This window comes from Homo sapiens, chromosome 2 (genome assembly GCF_000001405.40).
Source record: "Homo sapiens chromosome 2, GRCh38.p14 Primary Assembly".
Lineage (NCBI taxonomy): Eukaryota > Metazoa > Chordata > Mammalia > Primates > Hominidae > Homo > Homo sapiens.
Window position 1 is genome coordinate 190649985 of NC_000002.12, and position 26046 is coordinate 190676030.

The 26046-nt window shown below is 37.1% G+C and overlaps 1 protein-coding gene across 48 annotated transcripts in view, besides 1 other annotated feature; it reads left to right on the plus strand.

Annotated features, from left to right (window-relative positions):
- Positions 1–26046, plus strand: part of NAB1 (NGFI-A binding protein 1) — a 43872-nt gene that overhangs the window by 1090 nt on the left and 16736 nt on the right. For 25 of the 48 annotated variants that reach the window (XM_005246582.2, XM_047444465.1, XM_047444449.1 and 22 more), the window contains 3 exons: positions 9174–10011; positions 20342–20475; positions 23117–23168. In XM_005246582.2, the coding sequence (XP_005246639.1) occupies positions 9193–10011; positions 20342–20475; positions 23117–23168 (1005 nt within the window). In that variant the 5' untranslated portion in view covers positions 9174–9192. Of the gene's footprint in view, positions 1–9; positions 6170–9173; positions 10012–20341; positions 20476–23116; positions 23169–26046 lie in introns of those variants that run through there. The other 23 variants (XM_047444447.1, XM_047444446.1, XM_047444459.1 and 20 more) reach the window with 4 other exon arrangements.
- Positions 25831–25900: an enhancer, noted in NCBI's record as "active region_16863". NCBI's record gives its function as "activates an Ori minimal core promoter by ATAC-STARR-seq in GM12878 lymphoblastoid cells {active_cell/tissue: GM12878}" and the evidence as "EXISTENCE:reporter gene assay evidence [ECO:0000049][PMID:35858748]".

The window sequence follows — 26046 nt, forward strand, 5'->3', positions numbered from 1 at the left end:
GTGTGTGTGTGACCTTATCATGGAGAAACACTGAAAATACTATCAAATCTTTGTGGTCTGCAAACTCAGAGCTTCCAAAGCTTGAGATAGGAAATGACACTTCTGTTAAGCCTGAATGTTGCAGGATCTCGGGGAAAGGGATAGTTGAGATGGAATATACATTTGTCGATTCTGCAGACCAAGCTTTGCAGCGAGTGATCGGGAGGAATCGTAGACTTGCATGTACTTACACCTCGCTCCCTGAGATTCGGGAGGCACGGAAAATTTTGGGATGGCTGTTAATTTAAAATTTCATCTGAAAGAGTCGATTTGGAGTAACTTGTCACTACCAGTTGGTTTGCCAGTGACGTGTCTGCCAACTCAAAGAGTGCAAAGATCAGAAGCTGAAAGAGGAATTCTCAGATCTTGTTTAAAAATATTTTGGCAGTTTTAATAGATAATATGAGATTGCATAGGAACAGAGGAGCCGAATTTAAAATAGATTAGTCACGTAGGAAATGCTTAGCTGTTGTAAAAGTGTTCACGCAATGACTTACCTTCCTAGGTTTTCACTTTTTTGAAAATTTTTCCCTGAACAACATACTGAATTATGATATTTCATAATTTGTGTGTGGGTTATAAGAAGTATGAGGAGAGAGGATGCATAGGATTTGCTTTTTCTGTTTTGGGTGGAGATTGAGCTTTTCCTGAAGACCTGAAAGAGCTGCTTCTGATCTAATCTGAGTGCCAGTAAAAGTGGCTCTTAGATGAAAGGCTTTTTCTTCTCCATATTGGTGTCATTTAAGACATACAATATTATCTTTAAGTTTAAAAGATTATATTTTTTCATCGGTATTAACATACAAATAAGGGTTTTCTTGAGTCTTTGTAGATGACTGGCTAGGTCAGCCTTTTTTATCCCTGATTTGGGTATTAGATATTGGAACATTAGGTCTTGAAAGAAAATTTCAAGGAACTTCTGGAAGAAGCTTTCTTGTTTCAATTTTATTATTTTTACCATTTTGCACTAAAGTTAATATGCCATTTCGAGATTAAAAATGTTTTTTTCCCGACTCTGATGGTCTCTTGTTACTTGTGAAGGTATCAATAATAATGTAATAATGACAACATTGAGGAACTGTAGATTTTTATTTTATTCTGCCTGCTAATTATGGATGTAATTCAAATGACAGAAATTCTTAGGATTACTATGGTTGTTACAAGGACATTTAGTAAGCTTATATGTCTAGTAAATAACTTGATCTATCTAAAAAATACTTTATCTCATCTTATTTCAAAATTATTCAGTTGAGTAATCTCTTTTTTGTAAGTGGCAAATAACATCCACTGTCGTATGAGAAAGTTAATAGATGTTTATTCTCCTTGTTAGAGAAACACTGAAAGCATTAGGTATTTTCATCACGGTATAGCTAAGAACCTATTGGTTTATTAAAGATTTTGGGGGTTTGCACTGTGGATGCTTCTTTGAAAGAAGAAATTATAAACTGGGGGACATCTTTGATGAATTTGTTAATGAACTTTAAATATTTAAAGTTCAGGTTGGATGAAAACAGAAGTATGTCAGTTTCTAAAGAAAATATAGACATGGGGTCTCGCTGTGTTGCCCAGGTTGGCCTCAAACTCCTGGGGCCAAGGGATTATCCCACCTTAGCCTCCGAAGTTATGTCAGGTTTCATTGGCCTAAGACTTAGGACTCATTTATTCCATTATAACAAGCCTGGAGCTGTTTTTTGTGAGTGCTATTTATGTACATTTTTGGAAATGAAATCTTTGTAAAATTTACCTTTAAATGCAAAGCTGTGTTTTGGATGGAAGTGACCATTTTATAATATGTTTTGAACAGTTTAAGATCATGCTAATGTATAATCAACCCGTCTATGCATATTTCATTGTGGAATTTGCTAAACATATTATAGCATAAATAATACCCACTTGAGCATAATAGAAGATTGCTAGACCCTTTGCTTTGGATTTATTTTTATCTTACCTGCTTCTTTTATCCTTTTCAACAGTAGAATGAAGAATGGTACAATTGTTATATTAAGTGCAAATTCCCTTTCTGATCTGACATGTTCAATAACTCATACAACAGTAGAATATACTCCTTAAACTTAATAATGGAGCAAGTGGGAAATTTGACAAGTTGATGCTTGGAAAAAATAGTAATCCTCATCTTGTGAGAATTCACACAGCTAAAACATGCCATTAAGCTTTCAAAGAGTTTGTCATTTCTCAATACATTGTATTTAGGGGGTGACCCATTAATTTGCATGGTATATTAATTTAATGATTTTTACAGAGAAACTTCTGAAAAGGTGAAAAAAACTTATAAATATTGCCTGCATACTCTGTGCTCAGTGGGTACTTAATGTTTGTTGAATGACTTGATGGTTGGTTGGTTAAGAATTTCCAGCCATTGTACGAAATGCTAGTATTTGCCTATTGTTACTATAGTTAAATGAATAAATACATAGTTATCATTTAGCAAAATCTGGTTTAGTTTTTTCTAATTTTGGCAAGTAAATTTAACCTCACACTGAATATTTTTATTAAAATTTTAAGGTGTCTCTAAAATTTTTTTCCAGCTTCATTCATTCCATTCAGAATTTAGAAACGAATCAATAAGAGACAACATTTTAAGTTTCCCAAATTACAGTCAATTCATTAGAAGGTATATATTTAATTCATAGCTAAGATCCAGAAGTATCTTGACTTATATGGTACACCACTGAATGCTTACTAATATGTGTGCCTAGGTAAATCACTGGAAGCTTGAAACACATACATGGGAGTTAGTACCTAGGCCAACCCTACAATCTTAAGTAACCCATAAAGTGTAGCTGAACTATATTTAATCATTTTAGCTTGAGTTCTGGGTCTAGGATGAGAATAAAAGCGAAAATAATTAATTGCATAGAGCAAGCTTGTCCAACCCGAGGCCTGTGGTTGCATGCAGCCCAGGAGGGCTTTGAATACGGCCCAACACAAATGCATAAACTTTCTTATCAGCTATCGTTAGTGTATTTTTTGTGTGGCCCAAGACAATTCTTCTTCCAGTGTGGCTCAGGGAAGCCAAAAGATTGGACACCCCTGACACAGAGGCTCATCCTTCCCTAAATCAAATTCTTGTTTGTTATAAACCTTTTCTGTTTCAGCCTCTCGTGTACCCATTTCACCCTTCTCTCAGGCCCCTGTACCTTCAAGCTATACTCTCCTGAACTTGGAATACTTCAGAGGCTCTAAGTGTAGTCTTTCTGTCCTCAGATTTCCTATTTTCATTGTCCCCATTTCCCATCTCAATCTTTCATTAATGTGCATCAGATCTTGTCTAGATGTTAAGAAGAAAACAATCTGATGGAACTAATTTACCTTTATCTGTAAATGACTCATGAGCTCTTAACTCTTCCCAAGGTTTTTCACATTTTTTGTAAGTCTGTAAGAGGTTGCTATTAACTCAGATAATTTTAAAGTAAAAATTGCAGGCTGTGTTGGGGGAAGGAATTTCTAGTCTTATGCATAAATAAGTCAGGCCTTACTAGGATTTTGCCCGTGGTTTCTTCCCACTCCTGGAAGTGTGTTCATATGTGTATTGCTATATATGTTTGTGTATGTGTATCTAATAATGATTCCCATAGCATGGAGGGGAGAAGATGCAAGAATAGTGATTATAAATCCCTTTGAGTGTATGGATCATTAATGAGATAGATATTTGATGATAACTTACACCGTGTTTAATTTATAGGAACAGAGAAGAAAAAGACCTAGGATCTCATGACTGAACTTGAATTCTTAAAAGGCAGGTGTTGGGGCCGGACTCGTTGCATGATGTATAACACTAACCACTTGTAGTTCCTGTATTGGCAGGAACTTTTGCTTTCTTGGGAGAATAGCCATGTTATAGGAGTGCACCGTATAGCTTTTTAAGAAAGAAGAAGTATTAAGGATGAGAGAATGAAAAGGATTGTAGGTAAAGTAACAGGATGCCCTGTTATTGGATTGGCAATTCATTGAGATACTGGTTTACACAGAAGGCCTCCCCTTTGGAATATGAAAGGTTGCTGATCAGATTCTGACTCAGACATTGGGTTTCATTGCACAGCAACCTTTCCAGAGATGTTATTCATCATTGAAACTTTGCTAGGAATAAATGGGGATAAAAGAGTAATGAAACCTAATTCCTACCCTTGGGGTGCTTATAACCTAACAGTGACTTGTTCTGCAGAGCCAGGCAGGTTGCCTTCCTTGTGCCATGACTCCTTCACAGCTGCACAGCATTTACCACATTGTTTAAGTCTCTGCTTCTTGTCTCTCCTTGCTCTTAACTGACTCTCCATGAAGGACTGTCTTTCCTCTGTTCCCCAGAACTGGCTTAGTTGTTGGTGTTATTTGAATAAGTTCAAAATGTAAGAGAGACAAAGTGTTGCGGGGTTCAGAGAAGGGAGATGACAGCTGCAGCCAGGGGTAGTGGGAAAGACATTTTGGGAAAGGCTGTGAAGGTTGGAGGGAGAGAGGATGCCTGGCACAGGGGCAGGGAAGTGGAAGGCATATTTGAGGAATGCCTAGTGTATCTGCTTGGCACAAGTATATGGGCATGTTAAGGAACAGAGAGAAGGCTGGAAAGATAGGCTTGGGTCTGGGATGCCTATATGAGTAGTTTGGATTTCTTTCTCTGCACTGGTGGAGAAGTTCGCAAATCTGTAAACTTGGCATTGCAGTGTGGGATCTATTGAAGGTGAAGGAGCTTTTTTCAAAATTGGGGCAAGAAGCAATGAACACTAGAATTTGGTGCTTTTGAGGCAGAGAAAGAAGTGGTGGTGTAGCCTAAGGACATGTAGATTTGAGGAAGAAAGAAGAAAAAGCAAAAATGGAATCCAAACTTACTTAAATCCGGGAAACTGAAAGACCAATGGTGCAACTGAAAGAACTAAGAGAGTTGGAAAGAGTAGACTTGGGAATCTGGAAGAAGGGCAGAAAATGAGAGAATGTACTTGATTTTGGACACATCAAATTTGAGGTTTTGACAATGCCCAGGTGGAATGCCAAATTACAGTTCAGAAGAACAGTTTGGGCTGATGGTTCTGAACTTTTCAGGTGTGAGGATAGCTTTTTAAATAAAAACTTGCAAATATTTATGACTACTTTTAGTATTTGTTTTTTGAGAATACATGTAAAGACAAAACAAAAATTCAGCTATACTGTTAAGTGAGTTTTACTGAATAACAGAAGTGTCTATTTACCTTCATTTGCAAAGTAGACGTGTGTGAGAGGCATCTTTTTCACTCAGCAGTTGGTGCTTTGTGTGTATTTGGATTTGAGAACACTTGGAGTGACTCCATGGCTCTTGTCCAAGCTACAAATACAGATTTGGAGGTCATCTGCCTATAGTGATAATTAAAGCCTGGGAATGGGTGAGATCATCAAAAGAAAATTATGGACACACAATAGAAAAGAGATGTAATATAAAAATTTGGAGAATTCTTAGAATATAATAGGTGAAAGAAGGAAAAACAAATAATATAGCATTACCAAAGTAAGGTGAAGAGCATCTCAAGGAGTGATACCATGCAGCAGACAGATTAATGAGAGAGAGGCCCAGAGTTTTGATAGAATGGTGAGCCCAGAAAACAAGCTGGCCTGAGTCAGGTTTGAAGGAATGGTTCTTCTTTTCTCTAGTGACAATTAAAGCCCTCTGTCCTATCAAAAAATCCTCACATCCCAGCTTGGAGACTGTCAGGGAAATTTTGTTTTCCATAGCGAAACAGGAGTTGACCGGTAGTTTTGTGGGCCAGACTAGCTCCCTGCTTCACTTAGCACAGTTGGAATCTGGCAGGTGACTGATGCTACCCTGTAAGGAGCCAAAGTGAATTTTAAAAAAAGTTTTGGAACAAATGATTACCGTTTAAAAGATCAGTGAATAACAACAACAAATGGTCTTAAATTAATGCATTGTTTAATTCCTCTTCCCCTAACATCATTGGGATTCTTTTTATAGGACTGAGCAGGGGGAGGAACATTTAAGCTGATGGAAGTGGAAGTGGAAGTTGCTGTACATTGGCAGCAAGGCCTCCGAGTTAGCTTTTGAATGCAGTTAACTGGTTTCTCTTAACTGTGGAATTCATTGAAAAGTCAGACTCCGAGTGGTCGTTCCAGGATATCTTGAAAAGCCCAGGTAACAGTAGTTTTCAGCTGAGTGGATTTACAATACTCTAAGCTACCTGTATATAACGTGTTAAGGACCCATTTTATATTTACTTCAGATTGGAGAGAGGCAGGTAGAAGCTTTCTTTTGACTTATTTGACCTTCATGTTGAATCATTAATGGTTATAGATTTTATGAAAACAGAAAATCTTGTAAAAGTTTTCTTTCAAATCACATCAAGTTCATGTATGAAGGGGTGGGTGTTTAAATTATCACAGCCGGCTTTGGAAGGAAACTGAAACATTCTCTTAAAGCAAAAGCTTAGGAGGAGAACTCCTTTTCCAGTAGTAAGTGTGGGCCTCTAGAAAGCCTCCAGGGACCGAATTGGTTACTTAGTTATGTTGCATCTGTTATCTTGGCTTTGCAAATGTAGACTTGGTCCTATCAGTCTTTATGGAGATATTATATTCATAACTACTTTCTTACCCATGCAGAGGGCTTTCTCTTAAGAACTAGGGGGTTTCATTTTTTTTTTAAGTGGGTAAAGATGAGAAAGGATAAAACTTGAAAATTATTTTCTAAAATCATTGCCTTATCTCAGAAGAATAAAATATAAGCTTGAGTCTTTTAGTTCTTAAGTTTCTCTTTTGTATTTGTCTAACATATATTTTTTCTTATTGCTCATAAAAAGATTTAAAAGTATTTTTCCAGATTTCCTCATGTAATCTCTGCTCTATTCCATAATGTGAGGAGCACATATGCTGAGTTAATTGATCACCCTGTAAACCTTGCAAAGTTACAGTCCTCTTATTAAAAAAAGATAGTGTGTGTACTACTGAGAAGCCCCATGTCTTGGAGCTTCTGTGTCTTCCACAGTCTATTTTGATCATGTGTATGTATATACACATTACACATGTACTTTTTTTTTCTGTATTGCGTTGAAAGCCTATGGAGGAATTGCACGAGGTGTATGATAGGAAAGTAAATGTCCTTTCTTCCACCTCCAACACTTTATAGCAGCCCTTCTATTTGGTATAGTGTAGTTTAATATAGCTCTAAACTTGGGTCTGTAACTCCTGAGAGCTCTGTTTTTGTGAGTTAGTGCCCAGGTGGATGATAGATTCTCCCTGGAGTGGGAGGACAGGCAGAGCCTCCTTTAGGTGATTTAGAAGATGCAAGAACGTTTTTATCCAGAGGACTGAGGTGGCATGAATGTGAAGGTTGACCTAAAGAATTACCTGGGTCATCACAGTACCTGTAGGAGTTTGTGGTGCCCGGAGGATTTATTAAGTAGGAATCTTGTGCAGTGTGTCATATTTGCCTAATCATGGAAGTCTCCTGAGATGCATCTCAGGCACCTGGGAAACTGTATTTTTCAAAAGCACCCCAGGTGATTTCCTGGGTTTTAGTAGAAGCTACTGGGCCCTAATTCAGCCTTTGTTGTCTTTTGGGAAGTCATCAGGTAACCTGGTTATGCCCATACTAGCCCTTGCAAAGAAAGAGACATAAAATTTGCGGAAGTCAAAACAGATGTGGATGACACAGAGGTTCCAGGAGATGGGACTTCCGGTAGTCAGTGCTTAGAGTGGTAGGGACACCCATTCTCCTGGCTTGGAGTGACTGAGACTAGAATTTTGTGTAGCATTCTGATTGGTGGCATAAAACAAAAGTCCCAAGTTCAGTGACTTCTTGGCTTTCAGGGACGTCCCAGTTAACTATTGCTGCATACTGTCAGAGTTGAGAGTGGGTCTTCCATTTTTCTCTGATGCACATATTCTTTTAGCCTTCTGTTATTTTCTCCATAGAGGGCTACAGGGTACTTTTAATCCTAAGGGTGCATTTGATTACAACAAGTTTATTTGTTTCTCTTAAATGGAAGTACTTGGCCAACTCCTCTTTGTATGTGGGAGGTCTCCAGGCAACTGTGAACAACTTTTAAAGGCTGCTAAGAGGTCAAGAAGTACTTTGCTGAGTCTTGTTCTGTCTCTTTAAAAACAGACTTCTTTGTCTTGCTTGGGCTCAAAAAGTATGTTTCTTCCTTGGCTCTGTCTTAGGCTTTCTGCTGCTGCTTTGGAGTGATCACCCACCCTCCTTATTTTATCCTACAGCCCTCTCCCTGATACGTAGTTAGATTCTAGTCTATTATTTTGCATGCAGGGCCATTCTACATAAGCCTTCTACCCTGTGCCATGTGCGAGTGCCATGTGTTTGAAAGGGAATCCCATCATCCTCATTTTTCTGTGTCTCCAGTGCCTGTTAGAATTCTGAACTCTCAGATGTAATCTCGTAGTCACCTGTAACTCTTCCCTTAAACCACAGAGTGTCAATAAATGGTAACTGTTTTCTTCATCAATAAATGTCAATAAAGAGTAACTTCCTTCCTCACTTAGATCTAAGTGATCACCAAGTCTTGTCAGTTACTTGTTTGACTTTTCTCTACCTCTTCTTTCTTGATTCCTAAATTAACACCTTCTATTTCTCACCTCCAATTCATACTGAAATCTATCTTCCTCTGCCTGCCAGACTCATCTTGCTCATTTTTTCTCTATAAAATGGGAATAACTGTACCTGTGTCACAGGGCCATTGTGAGAATTAGACATACGTAATGTAAAGTGTTTATTGTATTGCCTGGCACAAAGTAAGTATTCAGCAAATGGTTAGCATACTCTGCTTCTTACCTCCTGCTAAATTTGACTATCTTTCACTCCACCTGCGTCCAAACCTTGGCAGTAGCAAAGTATATAGCCAAAAATACGGGACATGGAACCTTTGGTTTGATCCTTGGTTTGAACCTCCAGATTCCTGCTTACCATTTATTCTCTTTTGGGAAAGTACGTCAGTTTAGTTACTGACCTATAAGGTTTTTAGGAGTTCAGAATGAGATAAAGTATGTAGAGAGAATGCTGCCTTCACAGGCAGTCACGATGCAGATGCTTCTCGTTTTTGTTCTTAAAACCTGTAGTGTAACCTATTTGGTGTAAGGAGTTTGAAGCAAGTATGATGAGTTTTTACTTTTTTTTTTTTTTTTGGCAGGTTAAACCCATCCAGAGTAATGGCTGCGGCCTTACCCAGGACCCTGGGGGAGTTGCAGCTGTATAGAATATTACAAAAAGCCAATCTACTTTCTTATTTTGATGCCTTTATCCAACAAGGTGGTGATGATGTCCAGCAACTCTGTGAAGCAGGAGAAGAGGAGTTTTTGGAAATCATGGCACTCGTGGGCATGGCTAGCAAGCCCCTTCATGTTAGAAGGCTGCAGAAGGCTTTGAGAGACTGGGTCACAAACCCTGGGCTTTTCAATCAGCCACTGACTTCCCTTCCTGTCAGTAGCATACCCATCTATAAATTACCAGAGGGATCACCAACATGGCTGGGAATATCCTGCAGTAGTTATGAAAGGAGTAGCAATGCCCGGGAACCTCATTTAAAAATCCCCAAATGTGCTGCCACCACCTGTGTGCAGAGCTTGGGACAGGGGAAGTCAGATGTGGTTGGGAGCCTAGCACTGCAGAGTGTTGGTGAGTCCAGACTCTGGCAAGGCCACCATGCCACTGAGAGCGAGCACAGCCTCTCCCCAGCAGACCTGGGCTCCCCCGCGTCCCCAAAGGAGAGCAGTGAGGCGCTGGATGCTGCTGCTGCGCTCTCTGTGGCTGAGTGTGTGGAGCGGATGGCCCCCACACTGCCAAAAAGTGACTTGAATGAAGTGAAAGAGCTGCTAAAAACCAACAAGAAGTTGGCCAAAATGATTGGTCACATCTTTGAGATGAACGATGATGATCCACACAAAGAGGAGGAAATTCGGAAATACAGTGCAATATATGGCAGATTTGACTCAAAGAGGAAGGATGGGAAACATCTCACACTTCATGAGGTACAAAGCCCGCGTTGTTCCTTCTGTGTGTGTATGTGGCATGTTGCTAGTCGTTAGAGATAAATTTGGTAATAGTTTGCCACAAATGTGATACACTACCTGAAAGCAGTATTAAAAACATTGAGGTGTTAGCAACATGTAGCACTTTTGTGAAAATAGACCATATTTATTGTGTTCAGGGTATATTTGTATTGAACTTGAACATGTTTGAGCTTTGGAACTACAGTACGAGGTGACTTTTAGAAAAATGTCAGAATTTAAGCAGTGAAAGCGTAAAGTCTTTGCATTTGTAAGGCTGTTTGTTTTTTAATTAAAAAATAAAACTAGGTTTTAAATATAACTTTTAAAAAACATTTTTGTAGGCTTTTTTTAAAGAAAAAATTTCATAAAAATAGCAAGAACTTAAAGCAATTCTCAGCTAGCATAGAAAACAGTTAGATGAATGTTGGAAGAATTCTCACTTTGAACATTGTTTTGGTTTGATGTTTGGCATTAAACATTTTTATTTTATCTTTATAGTACTCTAGACATAGTCTGCTTAAGTTCATGTGTGTGTATATGTGTGTATAGATATAACATTTTGTCCATATAACATTATACTTCACGTGTGTGTATAAACTTTGGCATTTACTCCTTTTCTTGTCTATCTGGTCAACACATATCTTTAAAACTCAGCCAAGAATAAGCTTGTGTTTTCTGTAATCTTTTCCTTCAAGTAGAATGACCGTTCCTTTCCATTTTTATCCCTACATATACTTTTGTCACAATAACTTTAACTTCTTATTGTACTTATTTGTATACTGGTCTGTGCTTCACAGTATACTCTGGGTTTCTTCAAGGCAGAGATAATGTCTCCTTCATCTTTATATCCCCAGAGTCAAATGTACACAATAAGTGCTTGGAAAATAAATGCGTTTTCAAAAGTTAAAAAGACTATGTCATAGCTAATTTTTTTTTTTTTTTTGAGATGGGGGTCTCACTCTGTCACGCAAGCTAGAGTGCAGTGGGTGCAGCCTGGACCTCCAGGGTTCAAGCAGTCCTCCCTGCTCAGCCTCTTGAGTAGCTTGGACAACAGGTGTGTGCCACCACACCAAGTTAATTTTTTAAGTTTTTCATAGAGATGGGAGTTTCTCCATTGTTGCCCAGGCTGGTCTCAAGCTCCTGGGCTCAACTGATAGAACTGTCTTGTCCTCCCAAAGTGCTGGAATTACAGGTATGAGCCACTGTACCTAGCCTGATCTTTTTAAATAAATGATTTTAGACATGAATGTTGGAGCTTGAGATCAGATAATTGGTTAGCAGAATTACTTAAGTCATAGCCAGCCTGTGACTTGATCTATTTTGGGAGTATCCTTTGAACCAGTAGAGGAATCCACTAAAAGGGCTATATGGCTGTCATTAGTAGAAAAACAAAAGGCAAAATGTGTTGGCAATTTTAGTTTCATGCTTTAACCTAGTTTTCTTATAATTTTTAAAACATAGCAGATGAAATACAAAGTTGAGTCGAAATACATGTGTTTTTTATCAAAGTAAAAGTATTTCTAAAAGATTAACAAACCTAGTTAACCTGACTTAAAAAAAAATCATACCCTACTTTTAAAAAATGTAAAAAGAATTATTTTACACTTAGCTTTTGCTAAGGGGCTCTTTGCCTCTTTAGATAAGTAGGTACATATGATATTTAAGTGATGAGACCATGAATTTCACAAAATAAGGAAATACTCAAAATGAATGCCAGTAGGCTGAAATGTGGGGGTGGGGGCTTTGGAAGTTGTGGCTTGTGTTTTTGAAACTTAACTTAGGCCTTCTTGTTACTTGTACTCCAGTATGTGAATCTGGTCCAATAATATAGTTTAGGATAAATGTTTGTGAATCAGGAAGCTTTCTTAAAACTAGTAACTATCCAAGATCTTGGAAGAAATTACAGAATCCTGGGGGAATTGAAAGAAGGTACTATTAGGTATATCTTTTAGGTATTATGAGAATTTTGTATTTTTTCTCCTGATTATTTAAAATTAGCAGAAGTTTTTTTAGTTCTAAGTTCCTGAGATTAAAGAATGTTGCTAGTTTGTACTCAATTTCCACATAAGGAATACATGACTTACTCTTAATTCATTGTTGGCTTAATCTCACTGTTCTGAGGATTTTCTTCATATAAATTGTGTGGATACTGTTCTCTTAATCTTTCAAGACATAGAGCTGTATGTAGGTCACTGGTGGATGAAATTCAGGAAGCTATCTATACCTGTAAGTTTTTTTCAACTGTTCAAGTACATAAGATTATTTTTCTTGTAAGAAGAAGAAAATATTTGTTTATATATTTATAATAACATAATTTGTTTCCAAATGTACACCGTAAAGAATTATGGAATGACTTATTGTTAAGCCCCTCTTTTTTTTTTTTTTAAGCTAAAGAATCAGCAATAGTCCTACAGCCTGGCTAAGTACAGTCTGTTTTATAGGTGTCAGATTGTGAAGAGAGTGAGGGCTGAAGCTTAGAACCACACACCTTGCTGGTGTTCGGCAGGTGCCAAGGGACAAACCCAGAGGCGATATCAGAAAAAAGCCAGCAGGCAATGTTGCATCTATCATAAGGGGTGTTAATAGATAGTAGGTGGTAAACTAGGCAAGCAGTGTACCCCTAATGTTAAATCAGTGAATGGATGAGGAGAGAGCAACTAAAACTTGGGAACAGCAAGGCAATAGAGAATGTAGAAACTTGTAATACTCAGAAATGTAAGCAGGTAGATAATTTGGCATTACAGAATATTTGTCAGCAGATAGCAGCTTCCAGTCAAAGAGCTCTAGAAAGATAGGAAGGAGAAGAGGAGAATGTAGTCAGCGGGTAACTGTAAGCTGAGCAGAAGAAACTCTGCAGGAATTGGGGTGCTGAGCAGGTTACCAAGATAAGGACCCAGGCCTATAGAATAAACAGTGATGCCAAGCTTAGGTCAGTTTCCATTATAGTGCTGAGAAGTCAAGGCTGAGTGTTTCAGAGGAGGCCAGCAATTTCACCTTTGAGAGAGGAGGAATGCTGAATCTGAGAACCGCATAAACGTGGTCACATTATTAAGTTAGCTTGTTTTATTCTGAACTCTCAATCTCAGAATTCATAGATTTCAGCATCTAACACTTGAAATGCTGGACTTTTCCTTCTGATGATTTTTAAAAATGAATTATGGTAGTCTATTTCTTGAGTCAATTTTGGTAAGTTACATTTTTCTAAGAATATCCATTTCATCTGAGTTTTCAAACTTAGTGGCGTAAAGTTATTTATAGTTTTTTAAGACCTAATATTGACCTAATATTGATTGTACACTTATCTCTCCTTAGCTCCTGACCAACCTTGCCAAAGGTTTGCCAATTTTATTCTTTTTTAGAGATCTGCAAACTAGGGTCTGTGTGCCCAGTCTCACTCACCTCCTGTTTTTATAAATAAATTTTTATTGGCACACAGCTGGGCCTATTTATTTATGTACTGTTTGTGGCTGATTTTGAGCTACAATGGTGAGTTAAGTAGTTGTGACACAGGCTGTTTGGCCCGTAAAGCCTAAAATATTTACTCTCTGGCCTTTTACAGAAAAAGCTTGCCAACCTCTGATCTTTTTGAAGAAGCCACTCTGGGCTTAGTTGCTATTCTTGCTTGTGCTGTACACGTGTATATATTTGTCTCCTCTCTTAGTTATTTTATTGTTCTTATCTAACTTAATTTGGGTGCTTAGTTCATTAATTTTTAGTCATTCTTTTTCTAATATGAGCAATTAAAGTATAAATTTTCACTATGTATTGATTCAGTGTTATTCCCAAAGTTTTGTTATGAGGTTATTTTATTATTTTTCAATTTTAATTATTTTTATGATTTCTGACCATGTGTTATTTAAAAGTGTTTCTTTATTTCCAAATATGAGTAATTTTTTTTCCTTATTTTTCCTAATGATTTCTGACTTAATTACATTGAGGGCAAGAGAACATGGTTTGTGTGATGCCAACCCTTTAAAATTTGTTGAGAGTTTAGTTATGATTCATTTTGTGGTCTGTGTTTTTTACGTTTGGAAACGATATCTTAAGCAGTTGTTAGTAGAGTGTTCTATATGTGTCTGTTCTAACAAGCTTATTAATTCTGTCATTCAAATCTTATATTCTTAACTATTATTTTGTCTGCTTGCTCTGTCAGTAAAAAGAGTTGTGTACTAAAATTTTACTGATTGTAGTGTTGTCTGTTTCTCTTTGTATTACGCAGTAATCTTATTAACCTTTAATAATGTATTTTGCTTTAGAAAGCTATTTTCTTTAATGTTGATATAAATACATGAGCTCTCTTTTTGTTAGTCATTGCCTATTACATCTTTATATCTTTTTTTTTTTTGGAGACAGGGTTCACTTTGTCACCCTAGCTGGAATGCAGTGGTGAGATCACAGCTTACTGTATCCTCGACCTCCCAGGCTTAGGTGATTCTCCCACTCAGCCTCCTGGGTAGCTGGGACCACAGGCATGTGCCACCACACCTAGCTAATTTCTTTCTTTTCTTTTTTCCTTCCTTCCTTCCTTCCTTCCTTCCTTCCTTTCTTCCTCTCTTTCTTTCTTCTTTCCTTTTTTTTTTTTTTTTTTTTTTTTTTTTGTAGGGACAGGGTTTCCACGTTGCCCAGGCTGGTCTCAAACTCCTGGGCTCAAGCGATCTATCTGCTTCAGCCTCCCCAAGTGTTGGGATTACAGACGTGAGCCACCACACCTGGTCTATTCCTTATTATATCTTTATATCATCCTTTTATTTTCAGCCTTTCTGAATCCATGTTTTATATATATCTTTTATAAATACTGATCAGTTGGATTTTAAAGAACCCAGTCAGACATGCTTTGTTTTTTAACTGGAATATTTGGTCCATGTACATTTATTATATGACTAATATTTTGGATTTTTTTCCATTATTTTATTTGTATCTCCCCTCTAGCCCTGATATACTTTCTGTACAGATTTATCATCTGGGATTAGCTTCCTTCTATCGAAAGCTCTTTTAGGATTTTCTTAATGAAGGCCTACTGGTGGCAAACTCTGTCCTTCCCTACCTACTGGAAAATATCTTTATTTTGCCCTCATTTTTAATTACTATTTATTTGGGGTATTAAATTCTATAATGTTAGTGGTTTTCCCTTAGTAATTAAAGATACCTTTGTGTAAATTAGCGGGGCGTGGTGGCGGGCACCTGTAGTCCTAGCTACTCGGGAGGCTGAGGCAGGAGAATGGCGTGAACCTGGGAGGCGGAGCTTGCAGTGAGCCAAGATCATGCCACTGCACTCCAGCCTGGGCGACAGAGCAAGACTCCATCTCAAAAAAAAAAAAAAAGTTAGTGGTTATTCTGCTATTTATTGTGTACTTTTAAAATCTTGTTTCTGTCCAATTCTCCTCTCCTGATTCTCAAGTTTCGTGGTTATTTTTACTGTACTGCTTTTTAGTCGTATTTTCAAATCCCTTTGTTTCTTCAAATGAAGTCTTTGAGGGTCTGATTTTGCTGTCTGTTGTTTCTACTAGTGTTCACTTTTGTTGCCTTGTTTCTTTTGATGTTTTATGATTTATGTGAATTCATATTTCTTGGAACTTTAACTGTGAGAACATTTGGAGTCCCGGGAAGAAAGTGAATTCCCTAGAGGTTATTTGCTTTTTCTTTTTACTGGGCATCTGGGGACATTACAAATCTAAGACCCTATGAAAATAAATTCTCAGCCCACTTAGTGTGAATTATGGTTGATTGGGGGTTATGAAATCTTAAGAGAGTATCTTCTGTTCTCTCCCAGTCATTACTAGGGTTCAAGACAGATAATTTTCTTTGCATTCTCCTGGGGGTACAGACGTATTTCTAATTCAGCCTTACATTGGGTGTGTGTGGTGAGGTTTCAGCTTTATGGAGGAGGCATCTTAGACTCTTCAATTCTGATGGGCTGTGGGCTTTGCCTCTTTTTTCCTTCCCATTCTCCTCAACCCCATGAGGCCATGAAGATTGAAACTCAAGCTCATCAAGTTTAGCGACTGTCCCTAACTTAAACTTCTTTGAGGTACTGTACTCATTAATTTTGGCCTCAATGTCCTTATTCTCATCAGCTCATTGAGCATTTAAAAGATGATCCCCTCCCTATTTTATTTAACATTTTTAGTTTTTTTTTTCTGAGAGGGGCCAGTAATGGTACCTAGCCCTCCCAGTGCTGGAAATGAAAGTCCTGATTGCCTTTTGAGCCTCCCTATCACACAGTTGTTCACAGTGTTTTTGTGCCAACAGTACTTAAAGTCACAATCATTTAATTGTTGGAGATTATAATTTTAACAACCTGTAAAGAAAGTTTTTTTAGGAATCAGTAAACCACTCTTCTTAAGGATAAAGATAACTGTAGTAAGTCCAGTTTTTAAGTCCGGTTATAAAAGATAGCTAACTTTAAGAGGCCGGGCATGGTGGCTCACGCCTGTAATCCCAGCACTTTGGGAGGCCAAGGTGGGTGGATTGCTTGAGGTCAGGAGTTCGAGACCAGCCTGGCCAACATGATGAAACCCCGTCTGTACTAAAAATACAAAAAAATTGGCTGGGCATGGTGGCACATGCCTGTAGTCCCAGTAACTTGGGAGGCTGAGACAGGAGAATCGCTTGAACCCGGGGCGCTGAGGTTGCGCCACTGCATTCCAGCCTGGGAGACAGAGTGAGACTCCATCTCAAAAAAAAAAGAAAAAGGAAGCGAACTTTAAGAAATCTTTCACATAAAGATATGGTGGAATTTTGGTATTTTGGGCCACAAAAAGAGGAAATGGAGGAAATAAGTAAACCAGTAAGGGAGAATATCTTGTTACTTTATCCTTTTAACAAAATTAGAGTATTGGCATTCAGAAAAAGCTAACAGTGCTGCTGCAAGTGACGGGAATATTTTCATATTTTCCCAACTGCTTGGGAATATTTTCATTTTTCTTTTGTAATTATATCATGATAGTTATTGATGTGTTCATTATTAGCAGCTAGGGAGCATGAAATCTAGGTAACTCTGACAGAACACGTGTTTTTAAGGGAGAGGCTTCATGAATCAGCTTTTTATTACAACTTGGGGGTGAGCTAGAGTTACTTCTCCAGCCTCAGTTTTTTACCAGGTTCCCTGAGGGCCTGGAGTTTAGTCTACTTTTTTGGTTTGTGGGAGCCTGAATTCAGTGACAATGAATGCATTATGTTTATTTTTCTTGGTTTCTGGAAAGGTAAGAGAAGGAATACTAGAATATTGTTTTCAGTTTATGTTGAAAAGTTATTTTCTGTGTTTGTGCATAAGCTAGTACCTCTGAAATGTTGTCAGTTAAAACATCTTACTGAAAATCAGAGGTTTCCTTAGTAATTTAGATTTATTAATATGAAAAATAAATCGCTACATAAAAAGCTATTTGAGAATCCTCTTCAAGGTCATTTAGCTACTGCCATGCTGAAACTGATTTATTTTGAATATCATTATTTAAAGTATACATTTCACTTTTAACTCCAATAACATTGTGCCTTTCAAAGGCACTTAGGGGAGGAATTTATCTATTGATGACTCTTTAGGAGGAGTGGAGAAGGCTGAAAATAAATTCTTCCTTCAATTATGCTTTCATATTCAGCTATGGGTTTAAAATAGGAGACCTGGGTTTATTATTATAACTTGCTGTCAGTGGCCAAATTAATTGTCTCAGAACAAATTAATATAAATTACAGTTATAAATTTGGGGAGGAGGATGTTAAATATCTATATCATACCATGTACCATAACACATTCTAGATGGTTTAAATACTTAGGTGGGAAAAGTAAAACGATTAGACTAAATTATGGAACATTTATATATTATTAGAGTAGGAAGAGATTTTCTTTGCCTGTCACCCAAGGCATAGAAACTGTATGGCTAATGACAAACTTAAAAAAAAATCCCATTACATATGATGAAGAGTTAATGCTGTTAATAAAGAATTCCTGAAGTTCTAAGAACATGAAACATTGTAATGAGTCAAAGATGTAAGAAAAACCTTTAGTTTCATAGTCAAAGGGATGCAAATTACAACCAAATGCTGTTTTAGAAATATAAAATTGGTAAAGTTTTAAAAAGATAATAACTAGTGTTGGTCAAGATTGTAGGAAATGGACTCATCATGTAATTATTGACAGCATTATGATTTAGAGAAACTTTTCTGAGGGTAGTTAGGTGGAATGTATAAATTTCTTAAAATTTTAGTATACCCTGTGACCTAACTGGTCTATTTGTAGGAATTTATTGCAAAGAAATAATTGGATATGTGTGCAAAGGTACACATTTAAGAATCTCTTATGCAGCTTTTTTTTAAATAGTCTATGGAAAACTGGAGGTAGTTTGATGTCCAGAGTGAAGGTAGTTTAAATAATATATGGTTGTTTTCTACAATGGAATATTGTATGTGTGGGTAGTAAAAGTGATATTATAAAGGATTTTTCAATTCATTCGTCAGTCAACAGATATATATTGAACTTCCAGCCCATGCCAGATGCTAATGTAAACAAGCCACGTCTCTGCCTTAATACATCGGTAGAAATGAAAAATATAGCATATGTAACTGAAAAAAGTAGATTACAAATTTGTATGTACATATATACTTAATGTTTATATGTACACTGAAATATTGGAATAATGTATATTAGAATATTGTCATTCTGGATGGAATGATTGCATGCTATTTATTTTTGTTTTCAAAAATTTTAAGTAAGAAAAATTATTCTAAATAAAGATGAGATGCCTGGGTAGGGAGAAAGGGTGACTACAGTAGTCCCCTCTTATCTGTGAGGGACACATTCCAAGACCCCCAGTTGGATGCCTGAAACTGCAAATGGTACCAAACCTTATATATACTGTTCGTCCCTATACATGCATACCTATGATAAAGTTTAACTTATAAATTAGGCACAGCAAGAGATTAACAACAATAACTATTAATAATAATAAAGTAGGACAATTAGAACAATATGCCAGCATTACTGCTCTTGCACTTTGGGGCCATTGTTGAGTCAAATAAGGGTAACTGGAATATGAGCACTGAGATATCAGAAGAGTCCATCTGTTGACTGAGATGGCCACCAAGTGACTGACAGCCAGGAGTATAGACAGTGTAGATACACTGGACAAAGGGATGATTCATCACTTGGATGAGACAGAGTGAGATGGCACACAGTTTAAAACTTATGAATTGTTTATTTGTATAATTTTTCATTTAATATTTTTGGGTCCCAGTTGACCACAGGTAACTGAAACCTCAGACAGCAAAACTGTGGGTAAGGGGGTACTGCCGTACCTGATTTCTTATGAAAAGAAAACAAGAATTAACACTAACCACAACCTTATGCCAGGTGTGTCTCCTCATCTACATCTTGTTAGAGCCTTTTGGGATAGTGATATTATCCCATTTTGCCTCTCAGAATACCAAGTACCAAGCCTCTCAAAAGTTTTGCATGTCCAGAGTCACAGCTGGTAAATGATGAAGCAGGACTCTCCTCAGGTCTGTCTGCCATCACGTCCCATTTTCTTTTTGCTAATCATCATGCCTTGGCTAAGTACATCTTTTGCATATTAAAAAAGTCTGATATACCTCTTGACAGTTTCCTATATCTATTGACAAAATTATGTGAAAAAATTTCTAGTTTGTTAAACAATTACAGATTTTGTGTTTAGGGTAACAAAATTTTAGTACAAAGTGTTTGGTCAACTAGCAACTCTATATTGGCAATATTTAATAATTACTGAATTATGAAAGGGTGGTAGAATTAGATGGATCTTAGAGATTAGTCCAACACCTTGATTTTCCAATATAGCCCTAGTATATGATAACTCTGTTTTTTACTAAGTGATTTGATAAATGTTTAAAATCATATGGTCTTGATTCCTTTTTAAGAATTTTCATGTCAGTTCATAAAAAATCTGTCAGACCATCTACATTCATTTTTGGTTAGAGAAATGGTGTCAGCAAATCCTGTATTCTAATATTTTGGGTTTTTTTATAAGCGAGTTGCAGAATATTTTTTACTTTTTATTTTCCTTGTCGTCTATAAACTCTCCTATCTAACCAAAAAAAGGATATAAATAAATAAAATCAAGATGACTATTATGATTAATTTGGGCTCTGTGAGATGGCAGATGAGTTGGTTTTCTTCTGAAATTCGGCATTAGGAATAATTAGGAATAAATACCATTCTGATTTTTATGAATAATGATTCCATTATATAATGGTGTAACATTCTTATATTTTAAGTGAAACCTTTTGCATTTTGATGAAATTAAAATGTTCTTAATTTTGAAACTCTGTTTTGGATATCCAGCTCACTGTTAATGAAGCGGCTGCTCAACTCTGTGTGAAGGATAATGCCCTGCTGACAAGAAGAGATGAGCTTTTTGCCTTGGCTCGACAGATTTCTCGAGAAGTCACCTATAAATATACTTACAGAACCACCAAGTAAGTATTTAACTAATCGTCATTATTTTTGCATTGCTTGAGAGAAGTAGAGTTCGAAACATCATCTATTGATAGAATATAAGCATTTCTGAAAAAGTGGAAGTATGATTATTGTTCTATGAAACTAAACAATGCAGTGATTTTGAAAACATTGCCAAGGTGATTTTTGTTGTTTAATTCTCACTGTTCTCTTTTGAAAGGCATCATTCTCTAGTTACTATAGCATTGTTCTGGTAGTGGTTTTAAACATTCTTCTCTCATACACACACTTTGGTTTTGAGTGTGACGAGGGGATTTAGTCAGACAGCATTTATAGACGTATTTGTACACCCGCTAACTACGTGAACTTGTTGAACTCTGAGGAAATAGAATGGTCCTTTTTGCAAGGTGTTTGAATCTGATGAGATTAGCTGAATATGTAAAACGACTCTATTGACTAGTATCTAAGGGAAAATTGAAAGATACTTCTATTACTAGCACATGGGTTATGGAACACAAGTTTGAAATAAAACGTGATGTTAAAAAGCAATGGTGGTTTCAAAATTTAATGTAAACACAGCATATTTTTCTTCACCCTATCCTTACTTGAGCCATAAGCATTGTCTACAGGATAGGACCATTTGATTTTGTTCACTTGATTCCACACAGACCCCGATTTCCAGCCCGCATTGTGTTGTGCCTGCCACTGTTTCTCTGGATGCAGATGACCACTGCATTAGAGTAACTCTAAGTTTTTGTTGAAAATTCACATTCTGAGCACCCTTTCCAGCCCTAATCAATCACATTCTTTGGGGATGGAACTCTGGAATCTGAACTTTCACAAGCATCCCAGAGCATTCTTGTGCATCCTAAGTTTGAAAACCAGCACTATAGGCATTTGCCATCATTACCATTATTTTTCCTAATTCACAGCAGTTTCATTTTCTGCCCTACGTCAGTACCTACGTATTTATAACTGACAAGTAAAATCATGTAGACTAAGTGAACAGGGTAAGAATATACAGCAACATTCTATGGGATTATTTATAAGGTTTTTTTTTTGGAGTTGGATAATCAAGAGCTGATTCGCTGATTTTTAATTTTCTTCATTGTATTATACACTATTTTCTTTCTGAGTACTTTATTTAAATAATTTTCTTTAATCAAAGTGATACATGTCCACAGTTCAAGAAGTTGTATAACATGTAAGGCTAACAATGAAACTCAACGGTTCCTGTGCTCTGCCTTCCCGCTTCTCAGTTCCATGTTCCAGAGGCAACTGCCTTCACCGATTTTTAGCCATTTCCTCTAGTATTTACCTTCACCTTTCCTTTTTTTTTTTTTTTTTTTTTTTTTGAGACGGAGTCTTGCTCTGTCACCAGGCTGGAGTGCAATAGCTCGATCTTGGTTCACTGCAACCTCCACCTCCTGGGTTCAAGCGATTCTCTTGCCTCAGCCTCCCAAGTAGCTGGGACTACAGGCGTGCACCACCATGCCCAGCTAATTTTTGTATTTTTAGTAGAGACGAGGTTTCACCATGTTGGCCAGGATGGTCTCGATCTCTTGACCTTGTAATCCACCCACCTTGGCCTCCCAAAGTGCTGGGATTACAGGCGTGAGCCACTGTGCCTAGGCTCACCTTTCCTTTAAAGTTAAATGTACCTTAAAATATGTTAACACTTTTACATAATTTAGAAGCCACCTTGGACTCCTAAGGTGCCCTCATTATTTTTTTACGGCTGCATGGTATTGAATTGTGTGGATGTGCTGTGATTCATTTAGCCCCTATTGATGGCTACTGGGGTTGTGTCTAGTCTTTTATTGTAAAACCACAATAAATAACATCATACATAATATGTTTTGTTGATTCTGAGATGTACTTTTTCACATTTTAACAAATCTTTTATATTGAAGTATAACTTGTAGTTGATGGCTTGTCATAGTTTAATTAATTTCATAGTGGTACATGAAATAATTCTGTGTCTTACCATTGATGGAGCATCATTTTATATATATATATGTAGGTACCACTGGGATAGGTTTTCCCAGCAGAGAAATTGCTGGGTCAGGGTAAATACATCTGTAGTTTCTGTAGATAGACAAAATGCATTTTAATCTCATGTAGCCATAAACATACATCTTAAGTGGTCATTTTAGTCATTTTATCCTAAATTATTCCTACTGAACCATAAAGGGATATCCTCCTTGATTTTTTTTTCATTATGTGATGATCATTAAATATTTATTAAGTGCTAGGCTGGGCACAGTGGCTCACGCCTGTAATCCCAGCAATTTGGAAGGCTGAGGTGGGAGGATCACTTGAGCCTAGGAGTTTGTGGCTAGTCTGGGTTGAACATAGTGAGACCCCATCTTTAAAAAAAAAAATTATTGAGTGGCTTTCATACCAAAGCCAGAGGTGGTGAGTTCTTAGGTAGTGGCCTTTTAAAATGTATAATTGTATCTATACCTTCCCCTAGTGTTAACTTGGAAATGATGAAAGATCTTTTCTTCATTATTTTAATGATCATTATGAATATGTCATTTCTGGTGTTGGAGTTTCAGGGTATATGTTTTGGTGGAAGGTTATAGGCTGAGATGCCTTTGGAATAAAATCAGTTACTTTCTCAAGTTTTTTTTTTTTTTTCTCTCCCCTTTCCCTTAGGTCAAAATGTGGAGAAAGAGATGAATTATCCCCAAAGAGAATTAAAGTGGAGGTATGGTCATATGTTACATTTTCTTATGCTGATAATGTTTGCTTTTGTTTTAAGATCAAGCAAAATCTTAACTAGTTCAGACAAAAAAGATGGTCCCATAAACTAGTGAAAAATGGCTTTCAATAAATCTTTTAAAAATATAGAATTTTGTTACCTTGAAATACAATATTTACAGTAATTTGAATTAGCAGACCAAGGAAAATTTTTTTAAACTTTTTTTTCATGTAGAGATGTGGTCTCGCTATGTTGCCCAGGCTGGTCTTGCACTCAAACTCCTGGGCTCAAGTGATCCTCCCTCCTTGGCCTCCCAAAATTCTGGGATTACAGGTGTGAACCACCATGCCTAGTCCCAGGAAATTCTTAAAAGAAAACTGTGGTGACTAGTCCAGTCAATTTATCAAAGGTTGATTTGCAATCGGTGTTTCTTACAGATTTAAAACTTCACGGGTTAAACCATTCCTTTCATAGTTGTATTTACATCATTAGTCATCAAATACAGAGGAGCTAACTTTTCGTTTCTTTATATTAACTATCTAAGGGAAATGATAATTTAGTAGCTATAAATTACAGAGACTTTACTGTAACTAAAGCCTCTTTTAGAGTGTCACGGTTGAGGCTGCTCTTTTGATTTTAGATTTGCAAGTGGTAAGGTGGGAGTTAAGAAAAACATACTTAGGACTCTCCGAACTATAGAATGGTTTCAGAACTATTGTTTCTTACAAATACTTTTTAAAAAGTCTAGTTTGCAGCAGAGTGGAAATCTGGTCAGGTGGCTCCTTCCTTTCTTTTTGTTTTAGGCAGGGGATGGAGGTCAGTGTTCTCTTAGCCATCCTATTATTTAATTTCAAGTTAAAGCAAATAATCTATGCTTGACCACCCTAAATTTCTGTCATCAGTTATATCTACAGAGTATCTATATGGCAGTAATCCTTTATTCATATCAAAGCCAGAGTTATCTTATAAAAACATAAATCCCTTTCTTGCTTAACTCCTTTCAGTGGCTTTCTACTGTACCTGGAATAAAATCTAAACTTTTTTTTTAAAGGATCTAAGACCCCACATGATCTGACTGCAGCTTGCATCTCCTACCTTGTCTGCTGCCACACTCTCCATTCTTACTGTGTTCCAGCCGCACTGACTGACTTTCTGTTCCTGAACATGCCAAACTCATTTATGCCTCAACACTCACTGTTTTCCCCCTACCTAGACTTCTGTTTCTTTAGATGGCTTCAAGTCACAGCCGAGTTTCCCCTGACTTCCCTGCCTCCCTTTCTAAAGGGGCACCCTCTCCCCAAAATCACACTCAGGCTTATTCTCCTGGTTTGTTTTCATAGCATTCGCCAGTATTTGAAACTGTTAGTTACTTGTTTTAAATTTATTATCAGTCTGCCCCATTAGATGAGAATAGGTCTCTTATCTGTGAATCTGCTGCTGTATACTTAGAGTTTGTAACAGCCTTGCACCTAATAGGCACTTAATAAAATCTATAGAATGAAATAATGAATGGCTGCAGATAAGCATCTTTGACTTATAAACACTTTATCTGAAAGCAGTGGTTCTCAAGGAAGAGAAGTATTTTGTCAAAAACAAAAAGCCACATTAAAAAAAGAAATGTGGGCTGGGTATGGTGGCTCACACCTATAATCCCAACACTTCGGGAGGCCAAGACAGAAGGATTGCTTGAGCTCAGGAGGTCGAGACCAGCCTGGGCAACATGGGGAGACCCTGTCTCTACCCCCAAAAAAGTACTTATATTTGTAACCTACCTCACTGTTAGCTCTGGAATAATGTTTAAGATGGTTAACTCAGAAAATGTTGAAATTATCTAAAAGGCTACATTGAAAGATGATATAACTAGTGAGATGTTTTATCTCTTGCTCCCCCAGATAACAGGTAACAGAGGGTCCTTGTGGATTTGGCTGTTAATGACTCACTGCCACTGAAAGGGAAAGGCAGGTGAACATAGAAACTGCTAAGAAGGCATGTGCCATTGGAGGATTGAGAGGAAAGAAAGCACAGAAACTACCCAGGGGCCAAAAAATTAGTTGCTAGGCTAGAAATATGTCTCTATCTATTTCTCACCATTGGCCCTAAGTGTGATCATGATTCAGGCTGCTCACATTTAAGCCACACTTGTCTAGCTTTAGAGGTCACTAAATATTGAAATTTGTGATCATGAATCTCATGGACTGTTTGAGCTGCAGTTGTTTCTTGATGAGTTTTATTGGTAAGTCTTTCTGACCCTCTCAGAGGCCTTGTATTTCATTACAGTGCTTTCAGTTTCTTATTAGAAGCACAAAGTGTTGGGCTGTAACATTAGATATGACCTTTCTGTTCCTTTAAATATACTCCACTAGAGATACTTGAGTTATAGTTCTATACGGTTAGTTTATTGGTTTACTGGAGGTCACAAAGCCACTTGAACAGCTCTGGATTCAAAATTAAGATAATCAGTGTTACTTTTCCCTGTGAATAACTCTTCTAACCCTTCCTAAATAAGACAAGCGACAATCGGCCCCAGGCTTCTTTAAATGCTTTTATAGACACTAGACTTTTGATTTTGTTTCCCAGAAATAAGTAGTAACTACACCTTTGAATTTAGGACAGTGGCTCACTTTTTTGTTGTTGGTTTGTTTTTAATTTTGTTCTGTTCCTCTTTCTTAAAAAGCACTTGTGTATTGCAGGTCATCAGTATCTCTTGAACGTGTGTGTGTCTTGTGTGTATGTATACCTACACATGTAGATGGTGTAATCCTTTGCAAAATATATAGTATTGGTATGAATCCTTGTCTGTGCTGTACTATAAGTCAAATTTGAGATACCAGAACTATTTCCGGAAGCTGTTATGAGGTAGATAGTACTGGCTGTATAAAGTTAC